At 47.1% G+C, this 17973-nt stretch overlaps 1 protein-coding gene across 57 annotated transcripts in view, besides 1 other annotated feature; it reads right to left on the minus strand.

The window, feature by feature from the left end:
* ASCC2 (activating signal cointegrator 1 complex subunit 2) overlaps nucleotides 1-16398 on the minus strand; it is a 49664-nt gene extending 33266 nt beyond the window's left edge. For 6 of the 57 annotated variants that reach the window (XM_047441545.1, XM_047441541.1, NM_001369924.1 and 3 more), the window contains exons 1-5: nucleotides 16302-16398; nucleotides 10369-10466; nucleotides 3746-3904; nucleotides 3211-3381; nucleotides 459-588 (exon numbers count right to left, since the gene is read on the minus strand). In XM_047441545.1, coding sequence (XP_047297501.1) covers nucleotides 459-588; nucleotides 3211-3381; nucleotides 3746-3904; nucleotides 10369-10449 — 541 coding nt within the window. In that variant the 5' untranslated portion in view covers nucleotides 10450-10466; nucleotides 16302-16398. The other 51 variants (XM_047441548.1, NM_001369941.1, NM_001369934.1 and 48 more) reach the window with 30 other exon arrangements.
* Nucleotides 16671-16730: an enhancer, noted in NCBI's record as "active region_18822". NCBI's record gives its function as "activates an Ori minimal core promoter by ATAC-STARR-seq in GM12878 lymphoblastoid cells {active_cell/tissue: GM12878}" and the evidence as "EXISTENCE:reporter gene assay evidence [ECO:0000049][PMID:35858748]".

Genomic DNA, 17973 nt, shown 5'->3' on the forward strand with positions numbered 1-17973 from the left:
TAGTCCCAGGTACCTGGGAGGCTGAGTTGGGGGGATAGCTTTACTCCAGGAATGTGAAGCTGCAGTGAAATATGATTGCGCCACTGCACTCTTGCCTGAGTGACAGAGCAAGGCTTTGTCTTTTTTCTTTTTTTTTGAGATGGAGTCTTGCTCCATCTCAAACACTGCAACTTCTGCCTCCCAGGTTCAAGTGATTCTCCTGAAAAAAAACAAAAACAAAAAATTTCCAGATCCCTGGGGAACTGTCTGGTACACAGTTTTATTTCCACCTCCCTAGGTAGTGTCACTACCTAGTCATTTTGAGGTGACACTCATATATCTGTTAAGCAATTTCCCAAGACTCCCTGCCCCTATCGCCCTGAGTCCCTGGGCACTGTCAAAGCGCTGGCCTTTGCAACCTTTAGTTTGGCATGTGGGGGCCATCTTGGTGCATCCTCCCAGTCCTGCATCCTACACACCTATCATCTTCTGGAGCAGTGGTGAGTTGCCTTTTCCAAAGAGCACGCAGAGGTCCAGGATCTTTGGAATGTCAAAGAGGAAGTTATTGTAGAGGATTTCTCCAAACGCAGAAGGGGAAATGAAGTGATCCTAAGGAAAAATGCAGAGAGAAAGGATAGAGATTTTCTGAACACTCCTACATTATAAATAGCAAACTCATGAGAAACGATCTTTGGTTCCATCAAATGGGGACTGGTTAATGATGCCTTATGCATAGACCTGGAGCAATGGCCATTCTCCCCCCGCCCTTTTTTTTTTTTTTTAAATGTTAATCTATCTATGTTTTTGTGTCTCTAGACTAAACATCCCCATGACTTTTACAACTGGCTGTATTATCATGTCTTTTTTTTTTTTTTTTTTTTTTGATACAGGGTCTGGCTCTGTTGCCCAGGCTGATGTGCAGTGGTGTAATCTCTGCTCACTGCAACCTCTACCTCGCCAGCTCAAGCCATTCTCCCACTTCAGTCTCTTGAGTAGCCGGACTACAGGCACGTGCCACAACGCCTGGCTAATTTTTGTATTTTTTGTAGAGATAGGGTTTCCCTATATTGCCCAAGCTGGTCTCGAACTCCTGATCTCAAGCAATGAGCTTGCCTCGGCCTCCCAAAGTGCTGGGATTACAGGTGTAAGCCACAGTGCCCAGCCTCCCCTTTAAAAAAAATTTTTTTTTAAATTTTATTTTTTGAGACAGTCTTGCTCTGTTGCCCAGGCTGGAGTGCAGTGGTGCTATCTCGGCTCACTGCAACCTCCGCCTCCCAGGTTCAAGCAATTCTCCTGCCTCAGCCTCCCAAGTAGCTGGGATTACAGGAGCTCGCCACCACACCCAGCTAATTTTTGTATTTTTAGTAGAGACAGGGTTTTGCCATGTTGGCCACGCTGGTCTCGAACTCCTGACCTCAAATGATTCATCTGCCTCGGCCTCCCAAAGTGCTGGGATTACAGGCATGAGCTACCATACCAGGCCCATTCTCCCTTTTAATGTAAAAACAAAGCATGCTATAAAACAATCAGTTGGGAATTTATCCTGAAATATTTGCAGATAAATTAGTATGATATCTAGGATTGCTTTAAAATACTTCAGGAAAAAAGAGAACTAAGGGAGAGAGATAAAATGAGATTGGCGGAATGTTGATAATTGTTGAAGGGTACATGGGATTCACTGTACTTTGTATATGAAAATTTTGTATTTGTGGCCAGGCGCGATGGCTCGCGCCGGTAATCTCAGCACTTTGGGAGGCCGAGGCAGACGGATCACGTGAGGTCAGGAGTTCGGGATCAGCCTGGCCAACATGGTGAAACCCCATTTCTACTAAAAATACAAAAATTAGCTGGGAGTGGTGGCACATGCCTGTAATCCCAGCTACTTGGGAGGCTGAGGTAGGAGAATGCTTGAATCCAGGAGGCGGAGGTTGCAGTGAGCAGAGATCATGCCATTGCACTCCAGCCTGGGCAACAAGAGTGAAACTCCATCTCAAAAAAAAAAAAAAAGAAAAGAAAATTTTGTATTTATGTATATTTGGAAATTTCCATTCTAGGTCAGGTGTGGTGGCTAGTGCCTATAATCCCAGCTACTTGGGAGGCTGAAGAGGGAGGACTGCTTGAGGCCAGGAATTCAAAACCAACCAGGGCAAAATAGCAAGATGCCCTCTCTCCAAAAACATTTTTTAAATTAGCCGGGTGTGGTGGTGTCTGCAGTCCCAGCTACTTTGGAGGCTGAGGCTGGAGGATTCCTTGAGCTCAGGAGTTTGAGGCTGCAGGAAGCTATGATTGCGCCACTGCACTCCAGCTTGGGTGACAGAGATTCTCTAAAAACAAAGAAAAAGGAAGAGAAAATGTCCATATTATAACACTTTTTAAAAAGATCCTATTTTTTAAATACACACACACACACACACACACACACACACACACACACACTCAAAGGGAACAAATTCCCTGAAGAAATATGCATGTAATAGGGTTGGGTGTAGTGGCTCATGCCTGTAATTCCAGCACTTTGGGAGCCTGAGGTGGGAATATAACTTGAGTTCAGGAGTTCAAGACTAGCCTGAGAAACATAGCGAGACCTCGTCTCTACTAAAAATCAAATAAATTAGCCAGGCATGATGGTGCATGCCTGTATCTCAGCTATTTGGGAGGCTGAGATGGGAGGATCACTTGAGCCTGGGAGACTGAAGCTGCAATGAGCTATAATCACGCCACTGCACTCCAGCCTGGGCAACAGAGTGACACCCTGTCTCAAAAAAAGCAAAGAAAGAAAAATGCACCTAACAGTGGTTATTTTGCAGGGGAGAGATTTTGTCGGTGACATTCGTATTTCCGCAATGTTTGGGTTGTTTAGAGATAGCAGTATTATTTTTAAAGTCAGGAAAAAAAAAACAGTAAAGATTTTTAAAAAGAGTACACAAGTTCCTTTAAGAAGTCAGAATCAATGTTTTTTCTCTCTGACGCACAAGTCAAGGCAGTCACGCGTCAGCTGGCAAAGGGCCCTCGGCTCTCTTTGATGGAAATACTGGGTGTAACACAGACCAACCCAGTGAATTAGAGGATAAGGGACGTGGCACAGATTTCTTCCCCAACAGTGGGAATAAAGATGGAAGAGAGACAAAGAGGAAACTCAATGCTTCCAGAGCCTTCCTTCCCAGGGGTGGAGAGCCCGGCACAGAGGTGTCGAGTATCGGGTGATGACCTGTCATGGGATCAGTGGCTTACTTTGGATTCCTTGTGAGTGGACATGCGGAGGAAGGTGAGAAAAACACTTCGATGGAGGCGCTTCTGCATGTCAACAACCTCAGGGGCTGAGGCCACCCCCTCGTCGAATTTGCGGGGGACATAGCGCAGGTAGGAGTCCAGGCACTTCTGTAGAGTCTCGTCAAAGATCACCTAAACCAGGAGACAGAGGAGAGCGAGGATTTATCCCTTAGGCCCCAGGGGCTTGTGGGTGGACTGTGCAGGGACTCAATGCCCATCAGCCCTGCCCTATTCCAAACACTCCGACCCCAAGGGACCAAGGAGGTATGAATGAGCCAAGGGCTAAACACAAGATTCTAAAATTGACACTTTGAAAGGTGTGTAAACATTAAGATTGTGATACAAGACAGAGCAATCCGAACCACAATTTGCTGTTAAGGATCCAGTGAAAGAAGTAGACAAAAAAGCACCTCCTAGGGGAAGAAAAACAACAACAGCAACCAACCAATGGCATGTCATGTGCTTTGTCTTAGCGTTAATTTTGATAGAATGTTACCTGGCACCAGAATTTATCGTGAGGCAAGGCCAGGAGCCAGTCGAGGTCATTGGCTACGAAGGTGGCGCGTTCCAGGTACTCCTCCACTAGGGCGGGAATGTTGTCTTTAGGGGGCGGTTTGTATAACACAAAATACCGGTCTGCCTTCTGCTCGGGGTGCTACGGATCCAAAAACCACGTGTTAACGTGGCAGAGGTTAGTCAGCGAGGGCCCATTTGCCAACCCACAGCAATGACAACACTTGGCTGTTCCAACCGGTGACCCTCCAAGGAGCTTTTAAGCATAAAGAACCAAGTGTATCTAACAAAGAGGGCATGGTTGCATTCAGCGAACACTAGGCGGTAATTAAAATCCATGTTTTCGGAGTGGATTTAATGACACGGGGAAAGGTTAAGGGAAGAGAAAGCAGGATACAAAACTCTCTGTTTAATATAATCAGTTTTCATTTTCCTTTTTTAGTAAAAGGCAAAAGATTTATTTGTTATGAAGAAAAACCAGAGCATAGTTTTCGGTCTTTAAAAAGTGTAAGTATATTCACACACTGGTATTGATTTTTAAAAAAGAAGCTGGGGAGATGACGCCCCAAAGCTAATAGTGGTTATCTCTGATGGGGGCGGGGGGTGGTGAATTGTGGCTTGAATAGACTTTCCCATTAAAAAAAAAAAAAGAACATATATTCATATATTACTTTTGTTTTGTTTTGTTTTGTTTTTGAGACAGGTCTCACTCCCGTTGCCCAGGCTGAAGTGGAGTGGCATAATCTTGGCTCACGGCAGCCTCTACCTCCTGGGCTTAGGTGATCCCCCACCTCAGCCTCCCAAGTAGCTGGGACTACAGGTGCACACCACCATGCCTGGCTAATTTTTTTTTAGTAGAGATGGGGTTTTGCCATGTTGCCCAGGTGGTCTCAAACTCCTGGGCTCAAGCCATCCGCCTGCCTTGGCCTCCCAAAGTGCTAGGATTACAGGTTTGAGCCACCTCTCCTGGCCACATATATTACTTTTTAAATTAATTTTTAATTATATAATTTGACACAAGCATCTTTTCTTTCAAAAACTTACAAGGTACAGAGAAGGTGAGCTGCCTGGGACTACACTCCCAGGCCCCATGTTCCCTGCAGAGGTAACCACTCACCATCTGATGGGTGTCCTTGCAGACCTCTTCCAGGCATTTACATTAAATTATACCCATAAAGGCCAGGCACAGTGGCTCATGCCTATAATCCCAGCACTTTGGGAGGCTGAGGCAGGCAGATCACGAGGTCAGGAGATCGAGACCATCCTGGCTAGCACAGTGAAACCCCGTCTCTACTAAAAATACAAAAAAATTAGCCGGGCATGGTGGCGGGCGCCTGTAGTCCCAGCTACTCGGGAGGCTGAGGCAGAAGAACGGCGTGAACCCGGGAGGCAGAGCTTGCAGTGAACCGAGATCACGCCACTGCACCCCAGCCTGGCTGACAGAGCCAGACTCCATCTCAAAAAAAAAAAAAAAAAAAAAAATTATACCCATGAAACAATTTGTCTGGGTCTGTTCTTTCCTTTTTTTTTGTTTTTTATTTTTTTGTAAGTAAGTCTCAGCGTAGAATCACAAGTTCTCCCTTCCAGCCCCTACTTGCCATGAACAAACCTTACTTTGTTCACCATAAAGAGGAGATGGGCTCAGTTTTCTCCTCTGACTACATAACGGGTGCTTTCTCTGGGGAAGTGGTAGCAGGAGGATGGCCAGGCAATGTGTCAGCTCTTATCAACCACAGTCCATCCACTTCCAGGTCTGTTGATCCAGGGGATATAGAAAAATTGAGACTGATAAGAGGTCAGCCTCCTCAAGAACCATCTATGCCTTCCTAGTGCCTTACGCGAGTTTCCAAACTGTAGAGCCTGTGGGTACCACAAGGATTCTTCAAGGCCACCTCTCATGTGGGTCTGCAGGACCCCCTCCCATTTAAATCAAATTTGTATCATGGAGTTACAGGTACAAATCTGTTGAAAAAGAAATTCTGCTGGCTGAAACAAGTTCAAAACAACTGTCAGGAGCCGAAATACATCTCCTTGGTTTCCAAGCTTCCTCCCTCTTCTATCTGTTGGCACTTTACCTCTTCCCTCACTTCTCACTCAGGCCAGGCTACTCATTCTCCCGACACACACACACACACACACACACACACACACACAACCAGGCTACTCATTCTGACACACACACACACACACACATACACCCAGACTACTCATTCTCCTGACACACACACACACACACACACACCAGGCTACTCATTCTTCTGACACACACACACACACACACACACACACACCAGGCTACTCATTCTTCTGACACACACACACACACACACACACACACACACCCCTGAGATTCTACTTTCCCTACAATCCCACAGGGGGAAGATGGACATCTAAATCACCAAGTGAGCACAAAACAAAGGAAGTGACAGCTCAAACCTGGCAGAGGGACTGTGGAAATGCAGAAGGGAATTAATAGCACCTGGAGGATAAGGGACGGCTTCCCAGAGCAAGCAGACTTCCTCCAAGGCTCCAAGCATTCGAGGATAAGGACTTCAAATGGAAGAAACATTTTTATGGAGGCATAAACATGGGTCATAACAAAAGGGCACAGATTGCACTGGGCGGTGGGAGACAGATTTGGTGAATGCTGGAATGGTGCAAATGAAAGCTGCCACTCATTGTGGACCTGCCCTGTGCCAGCCACTAAGCAGGCACAACCCACAGCCCCTATTTTTTTAATCTACAAAAACTATTTAAAAGAGACATAGTATTCATCCCATTTTAGAGGAGGAATCAAACAGTAAGTTTCAGGAACTTTCCCAAGGTCATGGGATTAAAGAGGCAACTGAGGCAGGATTTGAGCCAAAGCTTACACTGCAGACCTATTAAATGACCTATGGTATCTGTGTGCCATCCTGGTCTCACTGATTGTCCTTCTGACCCCAGTTCCAATCTCACCTCTTCCAGGAAGCCTCCCTGACTCCCATCCCAGCTGGATTAGGAGCTCATCTAAGCTCTCCCTCAGCACCTGCATTCTGTGCTCACCTCTCTATACCACTTGAACAGCATTAAAAGTGCTTTCAGATCAGTGGTTTGGATGGGGAAAGGGTGGGAGGAAGGCATGGATTGCAGAGAGGCACAAGAAAACTTTCAGGGGTGGTAGAAATGCTCATTGATGATGATAGTTTCATGCATGCATACAGATGGAAAAACCAATCAAATTGCATATTTTACGTTTTAATTTTTAAAATGTTGGCTGGGTACAGTGGCTCATGCCTGTAATCCCAGCACTTTCGGAGGCCAAGTCAGGCCCATCACTTGAGGCCAGGAGTTTGAGACCAGCCTGGCCAACACTGTGAAATCCCATCTCTTATCAAAAATACAAAACTTAGCCAGGTGTAGTGGCACGCACCTATAGTCCCAGCTACTCGGGAGGCTGAGGCAGGAGAATCACTTGCACCTGGGAGGCGGAGGTTGCAGTGAGCAGAGATCATGCCACTGCACCCCAGCCTGGGCAACAGGTTAGACTCCACCTCAAAAAAAAAATTCCCTTTCTTTTCATAGGTGTTGGCAAATTGTATATTTTAAATATGTGCAGTTTATTGTCCTTCAACAATGCCTGAATAAAGCTGTATAAAAGGGGAGGACTGGTCTTCCCAGCTGTCTCCCCCACTAGCTTGTAGGTGTCTGGAGGCAGTCTGAGCTTTGCTCACCCAGCATTCCGAGTCTATAGAACACCACCTGGCATTGAGCAGACTTTCTGTACAGATCTGCTGGCTGGACAAAGAAATGAATGGAGGCTGACTGGACGTGGTGGCTCACGCCTGTAATCCCAGTGCTTTAGGAGGCCAAGGCGGGCGGATCACAAGGTCAGGAGTTCGAGACTAGCCTGGCCAACATGGTGAAACCCCGTCTCTGCTAAAAACACAAAAATTAGCTGGTCCCAGCTACTCAGGAGGCTGATGCAGAAGAATCACTTGAACCCGGGAGGCGGAGGTTGCAGTGAGCCGAGATCGCGCCACTGCACTCCAGCCTAGGCGACAGAGCAAGACTCTGTCTGGGAAAAAAAAAAAATGGTTTTGCCATGTTGCCCGAGCTGGTCTTGAACTCCTGGGCTCAAGTGATCTACCTGCCTCAGCCTCCCAAAGTGCTGGGATTACAGGCGTGAGCTACCGGGCCTGGCCACAAGACTATTTCTTTTGGGTCTTCAAGTATGTGCTATTCAAATAGATCCTCAACCAACATTAGCTCTACCAATTACCCTGAAAAGGTGGTGTGGTAACTACCCTTTGGCTAGAGATCATGCCCCAAGCCAAGACTAAAGGGACAAATATAGGGTGGACACATATCTTAGTACAATCTTTCAGGAGCTGCCCGTGGCCTTCAGAGTAACACTCTTCAGTCTGCCAGCAAGACCCCTCTTCGATCAGGCAGCTGTCTCCCTCAACTCATCTGCCTTCCCACCATACCCCCAATTTAGTGCTGCTGTTGTTGTCCCTGCTGTCATCACCATTGTAATAACAATTTATTGAGTGCTTACTATGTTCCAGGCACAGTGCTCATTCACAGGCATCTCATTTAATCCCCACAACCACCCTGCAAAGCTGGTCCTATTATTATCGCTTTTGGATTTGAGGCTTAGAGAGGTTCAATAACTTGCCCAAAGACACAAAGACAAATATTCAAATATGTGTGAAATGAACACGAAGCCTGTACTTGCTAACTCTGCTATACTGTTGCCACCTCAAGTGACTTGTGGTTAGTGTAAGAGTCAGGATCTCTCAAGACTCCAGAACTGCATACTAAGGTTGTCCTACCAGGTCCAGCCTTCTCCTGTTGCTCTGCCCAGCTAGTGTTAAGTTGCCCTTCAATACCCAGTTCAGAAGCCCTTTCCTTCAGGAAGCCCTCCTGGGCTGCACGTACCCTCCCACCAGGCCAAAGCCTCCCTGCCCCTACACACCCCACTGGTCTGGATCGGCGGCCCCGGCTCTGCACTCATGGAACAGCCTAGACTTCCTTCTGTCACAACCCTGATCACACTAGAGAAGCTACTGGTCTGTCTTTCTCTTAGGTCGTGGGCTCTTCAAGGGCAGAGACCATGTCTTTTCTCTTTATAGCTCCAGCACCTGGCACATGGCCTGGCTGCAGTCCCTGACTCATGTACCAAATGTTTTCTGAGAGCCTCCTGTGCGCCTGGCACTGGAAATCAGGAGTAAAGGGCAAGGACCAGGCCATCGCTCTCACAATGCCTGCAGTCTAACAACCCACATGTTCATTCGGTATGTGGGGAGGACTGAGGTGGAAAATCATACTCGACCACCCAAGGAGCCAGTCTCCATCAGTGTTTCCATCAGAACTTTCTGCAATAATATAACTGCTCTATATCTGTGCTGGCACTCACCACATGGGGCTATTTTAATTTAAAAGCATTACAATTAAATTAAAAATCTAGTTCCTCAGTCCACACTCACTATTCACATTACAAGTGCTTAATAGCTACATGTGGTGAATGACCACCTATTGGGTGGCTATCATACTGAAAAGAACACTTCCAGATTTTCTGATAAATATCTCCCACACATAAAAAGGTTATAAAAAGAAAATGAGAGGCTTTATAGCAGAAAGAATTTAAGGATATGTGTCCTAGGGTCTGCCTGGCTAGGCTCCCATCCTGACTCCCCTGATTTCCTAATTCTGTGACTCTGAACTCTCAGTTTCCTCATCTGTAAAATGGAGACAATCAAAATGTCTATTTGTAGGGCTGTGATGTGGACTAAATGAGATAATCCGGGTGAAGTGTTTAGAATGATCTGGCACAGGGCAAGTACTGTATAAATGTCAGGTACTATTATTAGAGACTATTTAAGAAGTAATAAGAAGCCATCTAGAAGGCAGGAAATAAAACACCAAGTTCCTGTTTCCCACGACTTTACTCAAACCCCTAGAAAACACTTCCTCCCACCTTGTTCAAGTGAGCTCAAATTCTTGGGAAAACAACAAGTGGGTATAGGAACTCCAGGGCTACATCTATCTCCTTCTTCAGCAGCCTGGCACCTCTCCATGGCTTTAATCTCTCTCTGCAGCTGGTAATCGACATGTTCATAGCCTCCTTATTTTTCAGTCTCACTAGCTCTGCCGGGGTGTTTGTATGTGGTGCTTCCTATCTCAGTTGAGATAAAAGACGGCCCAACCTCTGAAATCAGCGTTCCCACCAAAATACGGATAGCAGCTTAGATAGCTCTGAAAACGCTACCTGAAACCTGAACACCCTCCACAGGGTCAAATCCCCAAACCCAGCTTTGGGCTGGATCCATTTCTAGCCCGATCCAGGCTGAATTAGAACTGCCATTGGACTGATTTGAAATTAAATGCTTTGGGGGGAAGGTGCAGGGTGGTGACATGGAAAATCCTATGCAAATTCAAGTTGCTGCTCGGAAGGAAATTCCTACTCTGGGCCTGGAAGAGACTAGTAGTGTCTCAGCTACTGAATCACCGACCATGGCCCTCGTGTCATTCTTGGAACAGATAAAGACGGAATTTACTTTTTGCTCCTGAAATTGCAAGACTGACAATATCAGGCTGAATGGCCTTAAGTGACCGGCTCACCAGCGCTGGTGAAGTCCTCAGCTTTCCTGTCTTCGGGTCCTTGTGGGTGATCTGGAGTTGGTCCAGGGGCAGAGCTGGCATTGTGCTGCGTGACCCTCCTGAAAGGAATATGGATGGGAAGAAGAGAGCAGACACACAGACTCCTGGGGGCAGGGCCTGCTCTGGGGCTGATCCCAGAGTCAGAAGAGAAGCTTCAACCTCTCGCCTTAGGAGGCTCCTGTTGTGGTTCAGGACCTGGTTCATGCACCTACTAACCCAGCCAAAGTGACTTTTTTTGCATAAAGCAGTTCTCAATTGTAGAAGAAATACTTCCCCAGATGACTTCTGATATATTTCCACCCACTTTTTTTTTTTTTTTTTGAGATGGAGTCTCGATCTGTCACCAGGCTGAAGTGCAGTGGCGCTATCTCAGCTCACTGCAACCTCCGCCTCCCTGGTTCAAGTGATTCTCCTGCCTCAGCCTCCCCAGTAGCTGGGACTGCAAGCACACACCACCATGCCCAGCTTTTTTTTTTTTTAAAGAGACAGAGTCTTACTCTGTTGTCCAGTGAAGTGGTGAGATCATAGCTCACTGTGGCCTCTAACTCTTGAGCTAAAGCAATCCTCCCACCTCAGCCTCCTGAGTAGCTGGGACTACAGGCATGCACCACTACGGCCAGCTAATTTTTTAATTTTTTGTAGAGACAGGTTTTATTTTTTGATAGATGAGTTCTTACTACATCACTCGGGCTGGTCTCAAACTCCTGGGCTCAAATGATCCTCCTGTCTTGGCCTCCCAAAGTGCTGCCTCAACCTCCCAAAGCGCTCACAGGTGTGAGCCTCTGTGCCCAGCCTGTTTCCACCCACTTTGAGAAGTACTGGCTAAAAATATGTAGATTCCCTTTATTATGGCTCCAGCTCTGTGAGCTCAGTAGCCTGTGAGCTCTATGAAGACAATGCCCAGGGCTCTCCTCTTGCTATCTTTTCTGTGAGCACAGGATTGGTACAGAGGTGGCCTCACCAAATGTTTGAAGAATGACTACATATGAGGACACTCCTTTTAAAACTCTAGCCAGATTTTAAGTCTTTTGAGGGTTGAAGCCATGGGCCTTTCCTCACTTGTGGAGGATGTTAAGATTTTGCAACCTTTCTAGGCTTCAGGGAAGAAGTACGTGGAAGAATAGAACGACATGAGAAGAAGGGAAGAAGGACATGGAAGAAGGGAAGAAGGACGTGGAAAAAGAGAAGGACCAGGGAAAAAGATAATTCATAGAAAACTGACAGTGCAAGCTCCTTTCTACAAAGGCACAAACTGACCTCACAGTCAGTGAGTGGCAGATCCAAGGTCTCCTGTCTTGCTGTCCAGTGTTCTTTTCACAATATCACTTGGCCTGACCCACAGAAGGGACATACGTGTTAAATGAATCACGGAATAGAAGTGTATTAGGCCCCTCAAAAAACATGCCATAAAAGGCTAGAACAGACTCAATGACAACATGAAGAGAGACAGAGGCTGGGGTGATTAAACTGTCACCTCTTGAGCCTTCACAGACAAGCAGAGGAGCATGGGGGACATGAGCTACCAGCTGTGTCATATCTCAGATATTGGGCCAGGCTTAATGATATGAAGAGCTCCTCTAAGTGCTTTTCTTTTTCTTTTTTTTTTTTTTTTAAATAGAGACGGGGTTTCACCATGTTGCCCAGGCTGGTTTCAAACTCCCAAGCTCAAGCAATACGCCCATCTTGGCTTCCCAAAGTGCTGGGATTATAGGTGTGAGCGCCTGGCCTCTAAGTGCTCTTCTCAGCATTAACTTACTTGCCCTGTTAACTGGCTTTACATGTATTAATGCTCACAAAAAGTCTAAGGTTAGTTCTATTATTATCCTCATTTTATCAGTGACAAAACAGAGGCTCACAGAAAATAAGAAACTTGCCCAAGGTCTCACAGTTAGTGGGTGGTGAAGCAGGCTGGTTCTTAACTATTCACTATACTGTGTCTAGTTTAGTTAAACTTAGGGGTGAGACGGGGTGAAGGGGTGGAGTGAAAGTCAAAGCACTTCTAGAGGAGAGTCTGAGTAGTCTTGATAATAGAGACTGGCCAGGGAAGAAGGGTGCCCCAGGCAGAGGAAACAGCAGAGCAAAGGCAAGGAGGTGGAAACAGCCTGGTACCCAAGGAACCTTGGTTCTGGCCTGTTATAAAGACTGTGAAGATCCCCACCCTAGAAGGAGTAATAAGAGAGGACCAGTCTGCCTAGTCCTTGACACCTGTTCCAGCTCTAGGATCCCAGCAGATCAGACACACATGGTCTCTGCATACACGAGGTGGCCTGAAAAAAAATCACAAGGCAAAGAAAGTAATAAAGGGCTTAGGTAAGTTTTCATCTTTCAGCTTTGCAAAGCATAGATAATATCCTCTGCTGCACGTATTTCTAATCAAGTTACTGTCTTACTAGCCTCTCACAACAACCCAATTAAGGACAACAAGGATTACCATGTTCAGATGTCCAAAGAGGGGCCCTGATTTGCTCAAGGTAAATACATTATTGGCCAAGCTGAAACCGAAGCCCAGGTCTTTTGCTAGGGCACCTGGGGCTCTTGTGCCGAATATGTTAAAAAATAATAATAATAATTTTTTTTTCTAACCCTCTAGCCATGCTGGAAAGTGAGCTGGAAACACCACTGCTCTGCAAACCAGTGCAGAAGTCTAAATGACTGACAGGCCCAGTTCTTTCCAGGCTCGCCCGCTGAAGATGGCTGTGGGAGTGTTGGGTGTGAGACACAGGGTGGAGAAAAAGTCAGGAGGAGGAGGCAAGTCTCCACCCTTTAACCTCTAGGCCCCACAGTCCAGGCCTAGACAGGTAGAGACAGCATTTGCTTTCAGAAGAAATTCACGGCCAGGTGCAGTGGCTCATGCCTGTAATCCCAGCACTTGGGAAGCCAAGGCAGGAGGATTGCTCGAAGCCAGGAGTTTGAGACCAGCCTAAGCAACATAGTGAGACCCCCATCTCTACAAAAAATTCAAAAATTAGTCAGGTGTGGTGGTGCACTCCTGTAGTCCCAGCTACTTAGGAGGCTGAGGCGGAAGGATCACTTGAGCCCAGGAGATCAAGGCTGCAGTAAGCCATGATGGCACCACTGCACTCCATCCTAGGTGACAGAGCAAGACCCTGTCCCAAAATTTAAAAAAAAAAAAAAAATTTTTTTTCTTTAAAAGAAATTCACTCCTACAAACCATTGCCTGCCAGGGCAATTCAGGGCTAGCCTGGTGTGGTGGTAGGGAGAGAGCGCTACAGTCCTACAGCCTGGATTCAAGTCCTGGCTCCACCTTTTCCTATCCATGTTGAGACCTTGAGACAGTTCCCTAACCTCTCTAACTTTTGATTGCCTCTTCTGTAATACCAGAATTGTAATAGTACATAAACTCGTAGGGTTGCTATGAGAAGTAATCAATGTGAAGTGTTCAACCCAATACCTGGCACATAATAAGCACTCAATAAAGTTTAGTTGTTGTTATTATTCAAGTCCCAACCAGAGGCAAGACACTTTGGGCTTCCTGGTTTATTCAGCAAACAATTCCTGAATACAATCTGGGTCCTAGGCATATAACTGACTATGATTTGGCATTAAAGCTGTAACAGGAAATGTCCAAAACTACAGTATAGTAGAGAAAGGAAGGATATTACAAAGAAGGTGATCTATAACCTGGATGTTGAAGGATGGGGGAAAAGGTGACATTCCAAGCAGAGAGCAAGCATGAACAAAGGCTCAGAGTCTTAAAATGTGTGGCTTTGGGTCGGGTGAGGTGGCTTCCGCCTGCAATCAGCACTTTGGGAAGCCACGGAAGGAGAATTGCTTGAGCCCAGGAGATTGAGGTTGCAATGAGCCATGATACGTCACTGAACTCCAGCCTAGGGGACACAGTGAGACCCTGTCTAAAAAGTGTGGCTTTGAAGGAAGAGGGAGACATTTGGTGTTACTGAAAACACAGGTCAGATAGGGGATGACAGAAGTGAAGAGAGAAGAGAAGCTGGATAGGGAAGACAGGACCAGTTTAAAAAGAGCCTCAAAATAGCTTGAACCCGGGAGGCGAAGGTTGCAGTGAGCCGAGATCACGCCATTGCACTCCAGCCTGGGCGACAGAGCGAGACTCCATCTCAAAAAAAAAAAAAAAAAAAAAAAGCCTCAATGCTACACTAAAGATTTTAGTATTTCACCTGAAGGCAGTGAGGAGTCATTTAAGTATGAGACAGACATGACCAGAAAGAGATGATGATAACCTGGTGGCAGAAAAGACCTTTAATAAACCACGAGAGAGCAAACAGTACGTTAATCATTTCATTCATTCCTTTTTTTTTGAGATGGAGTCTCACTCTGTCACCCAGGCTAGAGTGCAGAGGAACGATCTCGGCTCACTGCCACCTCTGTCTCCCGGGTTCAAGAGATTCTCCTGCCTCAGCCTCCCGAGTAGCTGGGAATACAGGCATACGCCTGGCTAATTTTTGTATTTTTAGTAGAGAGAGGGTTTTGCCATGCTGGCCAGGCTGGTCTGGAACTCCTGACCTCAGGTGATCCGCCCGCCTTGGCTTCCCAAAATGCTGGGATTACAGGCATGAGTCACTGCCCGGCCATTCAAATATTTTTGAACACCTATTATGTGGCAGGCACTGATGCCCAGAGAATATTAAGGTGGGCAAATAACAAACCTGCTCCTGCCCTTCACAGAGCTTACAGTCATAATGGGGAAAGACAGATACTTTTCCAATTAGCCATACAAACAAATAAAAACCAATACCATGATGTAGCTATGTAGATAAGGCTCATGAAGCTGTGGCAGCATTTAAAAGAGAGACCTGGCTTGAGGAAGAAGTGATGTCAAGGAAGACCTGAGTTTTTGTCTAAAGCACGGGTACAAATTAAGTAGGCAGGGCTGGGCGCGATGGCTCACGCCTGTAATCCCAGCGCTTTGGGAGGCCAAGGCGGGCGGATCACGAGGCCAGGAGATCGAGACCATCCTGGCTAGCAAGGTGAAACCCCGTCTCTACCGAAAAAAAAAAAAAAAATTAGCAGGGCGTGGTGGTGCATGCCTGTAATCCTAGCTACTCAGGAGGCTGAGGCAGGAGAATCGCTTGAACCCGGGAGGCGGAGGTTGCAGTGGGACGAGATCACGCCACTGCACTCCAGCCTGGGCGACAGAGCAAGACCCCGTCTTGGGGGGAAAAAATAAATTAACTGGACAATCTGAACTTTGAGCTCCAAAAGGACAAACAATAATCATGACTATGTCTGTGCCCACCACTGTATTCCCCTGCCAGGCAGGACAGCAAAAGCCAAAAGCTAAGAAAGGGAGGGGGAGCTCCCTACAAGCACCCAATTGCAATATGGCCTGGGAGCATCCCCGGGGCTACTGCTCCCTCAGCCTCTTTGTCATCATTCCTCTAGTCTCTCAATTAAATACTACTCTCCTCAGAGACCTTCTGATGGCTCTGCCTATAGTATCCACTCTCCCAGTTACTGTCATAGCTTTAATGACCTTGTGCATTTGCTTGTCGTTGACCATCTCCTCCCACTAGACTGTAAGCTCCATGAGGGCAGAAGCCTTGTCTGTCTTGCTTTCTTTGTATCCCCAATGTCTAGATCTGTGTCTGGCACATAGGAAGCACTCCACAAATATTTGCTGAACGAATGAATGAACCCTGAGGAAACTGAAGCCCCGGGTGTGAGGACGTGGGGGGATCGTGGCTGGTCCAACGCCACTCTGGGGCCGAACTTCGAACCCGTGGCTCCTGACCCTGGCGGCCAAGTCTCGAGAGGCGGCTCACAACCCCTCAGGTAGCGTAAGCGTGGGCCCCGCAATGGAGGCCAGAGGATGGGAGAGCCAAGGCTGCCCAAGGCATAGCCGCGGCTCCTCCGGGGTCCCTTGCCCTGCATCTGGCAGGGACCAGCCACGCACTCACCTCGGCGGCTCCACCACCGGCTCTGTGCCGCCGCCGCCGCCGCCGCCGCCGACCACGGTGACAGCTCCCTGAGCGCCCGCACTTCCGGGGTCAAACTGCGATTCCGCAGGAGCAGACAGGAAGTCTCGGCCTGGCCCCGCCCCCAGAGCCGAGCAAACTACCGCCGGGAAGCCGGACCCGGGTTGCGCCTCTCTTCTTAAGACTCCGCCCCACACTCGGCGTCTGTAGCCACGCCCCCTTCCCCTCCTATCTCCCTTCCTGCTTAAGCAGAGAATAGGTCAGCTGAGGGCGGGCTGTGTGATTACACCTCTCGGGAAATCCAAGTATGGCACCTGAGAGGACGTCTCGGAATCCCAGGCTTCCACCTTCTGCCCGACCTCCTTAGTCACCGTTTTACATATTTAATCCAGAAGAGAAATTTTAACAAGTCAAAAGCACGAACATAATGTTAAGCAGATGTACAAGTACAGACTGCGATTTCATTTACGGGAAATTCTAGAACAGACAGAACTCATGAGTAGTGATGGTGTTAAAATTGGTGGTTTCCTCTGGGGCTGTGGGCTGGGAGGGGCCACAAGTGAGGCTGGGGTCACCCCCTGTCTTCATCTCGGTGGTAGCCATGTAGATGTGTTCACTTTGGAAAATTCATCAAATTGTACGCTTAAGATTTGTGCATTTTTCTGTATGTATGCAATACAGTTTTGTTCTGTTTTGTTTAAGGAAGTTACAAGTATAGCTATCCTAAGAGAAGGATGCAATTTTTTCTACAGAATGTCTCAGGTAATGTAGGTTTAGTGGTTCCTAAGCCTGACTATGGATCAGAATCATCACAGAAAACTTGTTAAGAACACACATTCCTGGCTTCATCTCAGTGCCTGGTACACAGTAAGAATTCAAAACCAACCACCATCATTATTGGGGTGTTATAGAAGCCCCCGAATGGAGAACACAACCCCACCCTGGGATTGTGAAATATTTCCCAGGACACTCCTGCCAACCCCTGCTATCTGCACTAGGGCTACAAGGAATGCTTAGTTCAGTGCCTGTCTTCAAGGGGCTTACAGGATAGGAAGTGCAAGAAAACCAATAGCAATGAGTCAGTGTGATGAATGCAGGGTGCTAAGGAAATAGGAGAGATGGGCTGTAAACCAGAAATGAGATGAGAGGGGCTGGATATTATATTAGTTTTGTATTGCTGCATAACATATTACCACAAACTTATAACAACACACTGCTTGCCACTTATAACAAACACATTTATTTATTTATTTATTTTGAGACAGAGTCTCACTCTGTCACCAGGCTGGAGTGCAGTGGTGTGATCTTGGCTCACTGTAACCTCTGCCTCCCGGAGGTTACAGTGGGTTCAAGCGATTCTCCTGCCTCAGCCTCCCAAGTAGGCAGGACTACAGGCATGAGCCACCAGGCCCAGCTAATTTTTGTATTTTTAGTAGAGACGGAGTTTCACCATGTTGGCCAGGATGGTCTCGATCTCTTGACGTCGTGATCCGCCTGCCTCAGCCTTCCAAAGTGCTGGGGTTACAGGCGTGAGCCACCACACCTGGCCAACAAACATATTTATTATCTCACATTTTCTGTGGGCCAGGAATCTGAGGATGGCATAGCTGGCTCCTCTGCATCAGGGTCACCCACAAGACTGCAATCAAGATAT

This window comes from Homo sapiens, chromosome 22, assembly GCF_000001405.40.
Source record: "Homo sapiens chromosome 22, GRCh38.p14 Primary Assembly".
Classification (NCBI taxonomy): Eukaryota; Metazoa; Chordata; class Mammalia; order Primates; family Hominidae; genus Homo; species Homo sapiens.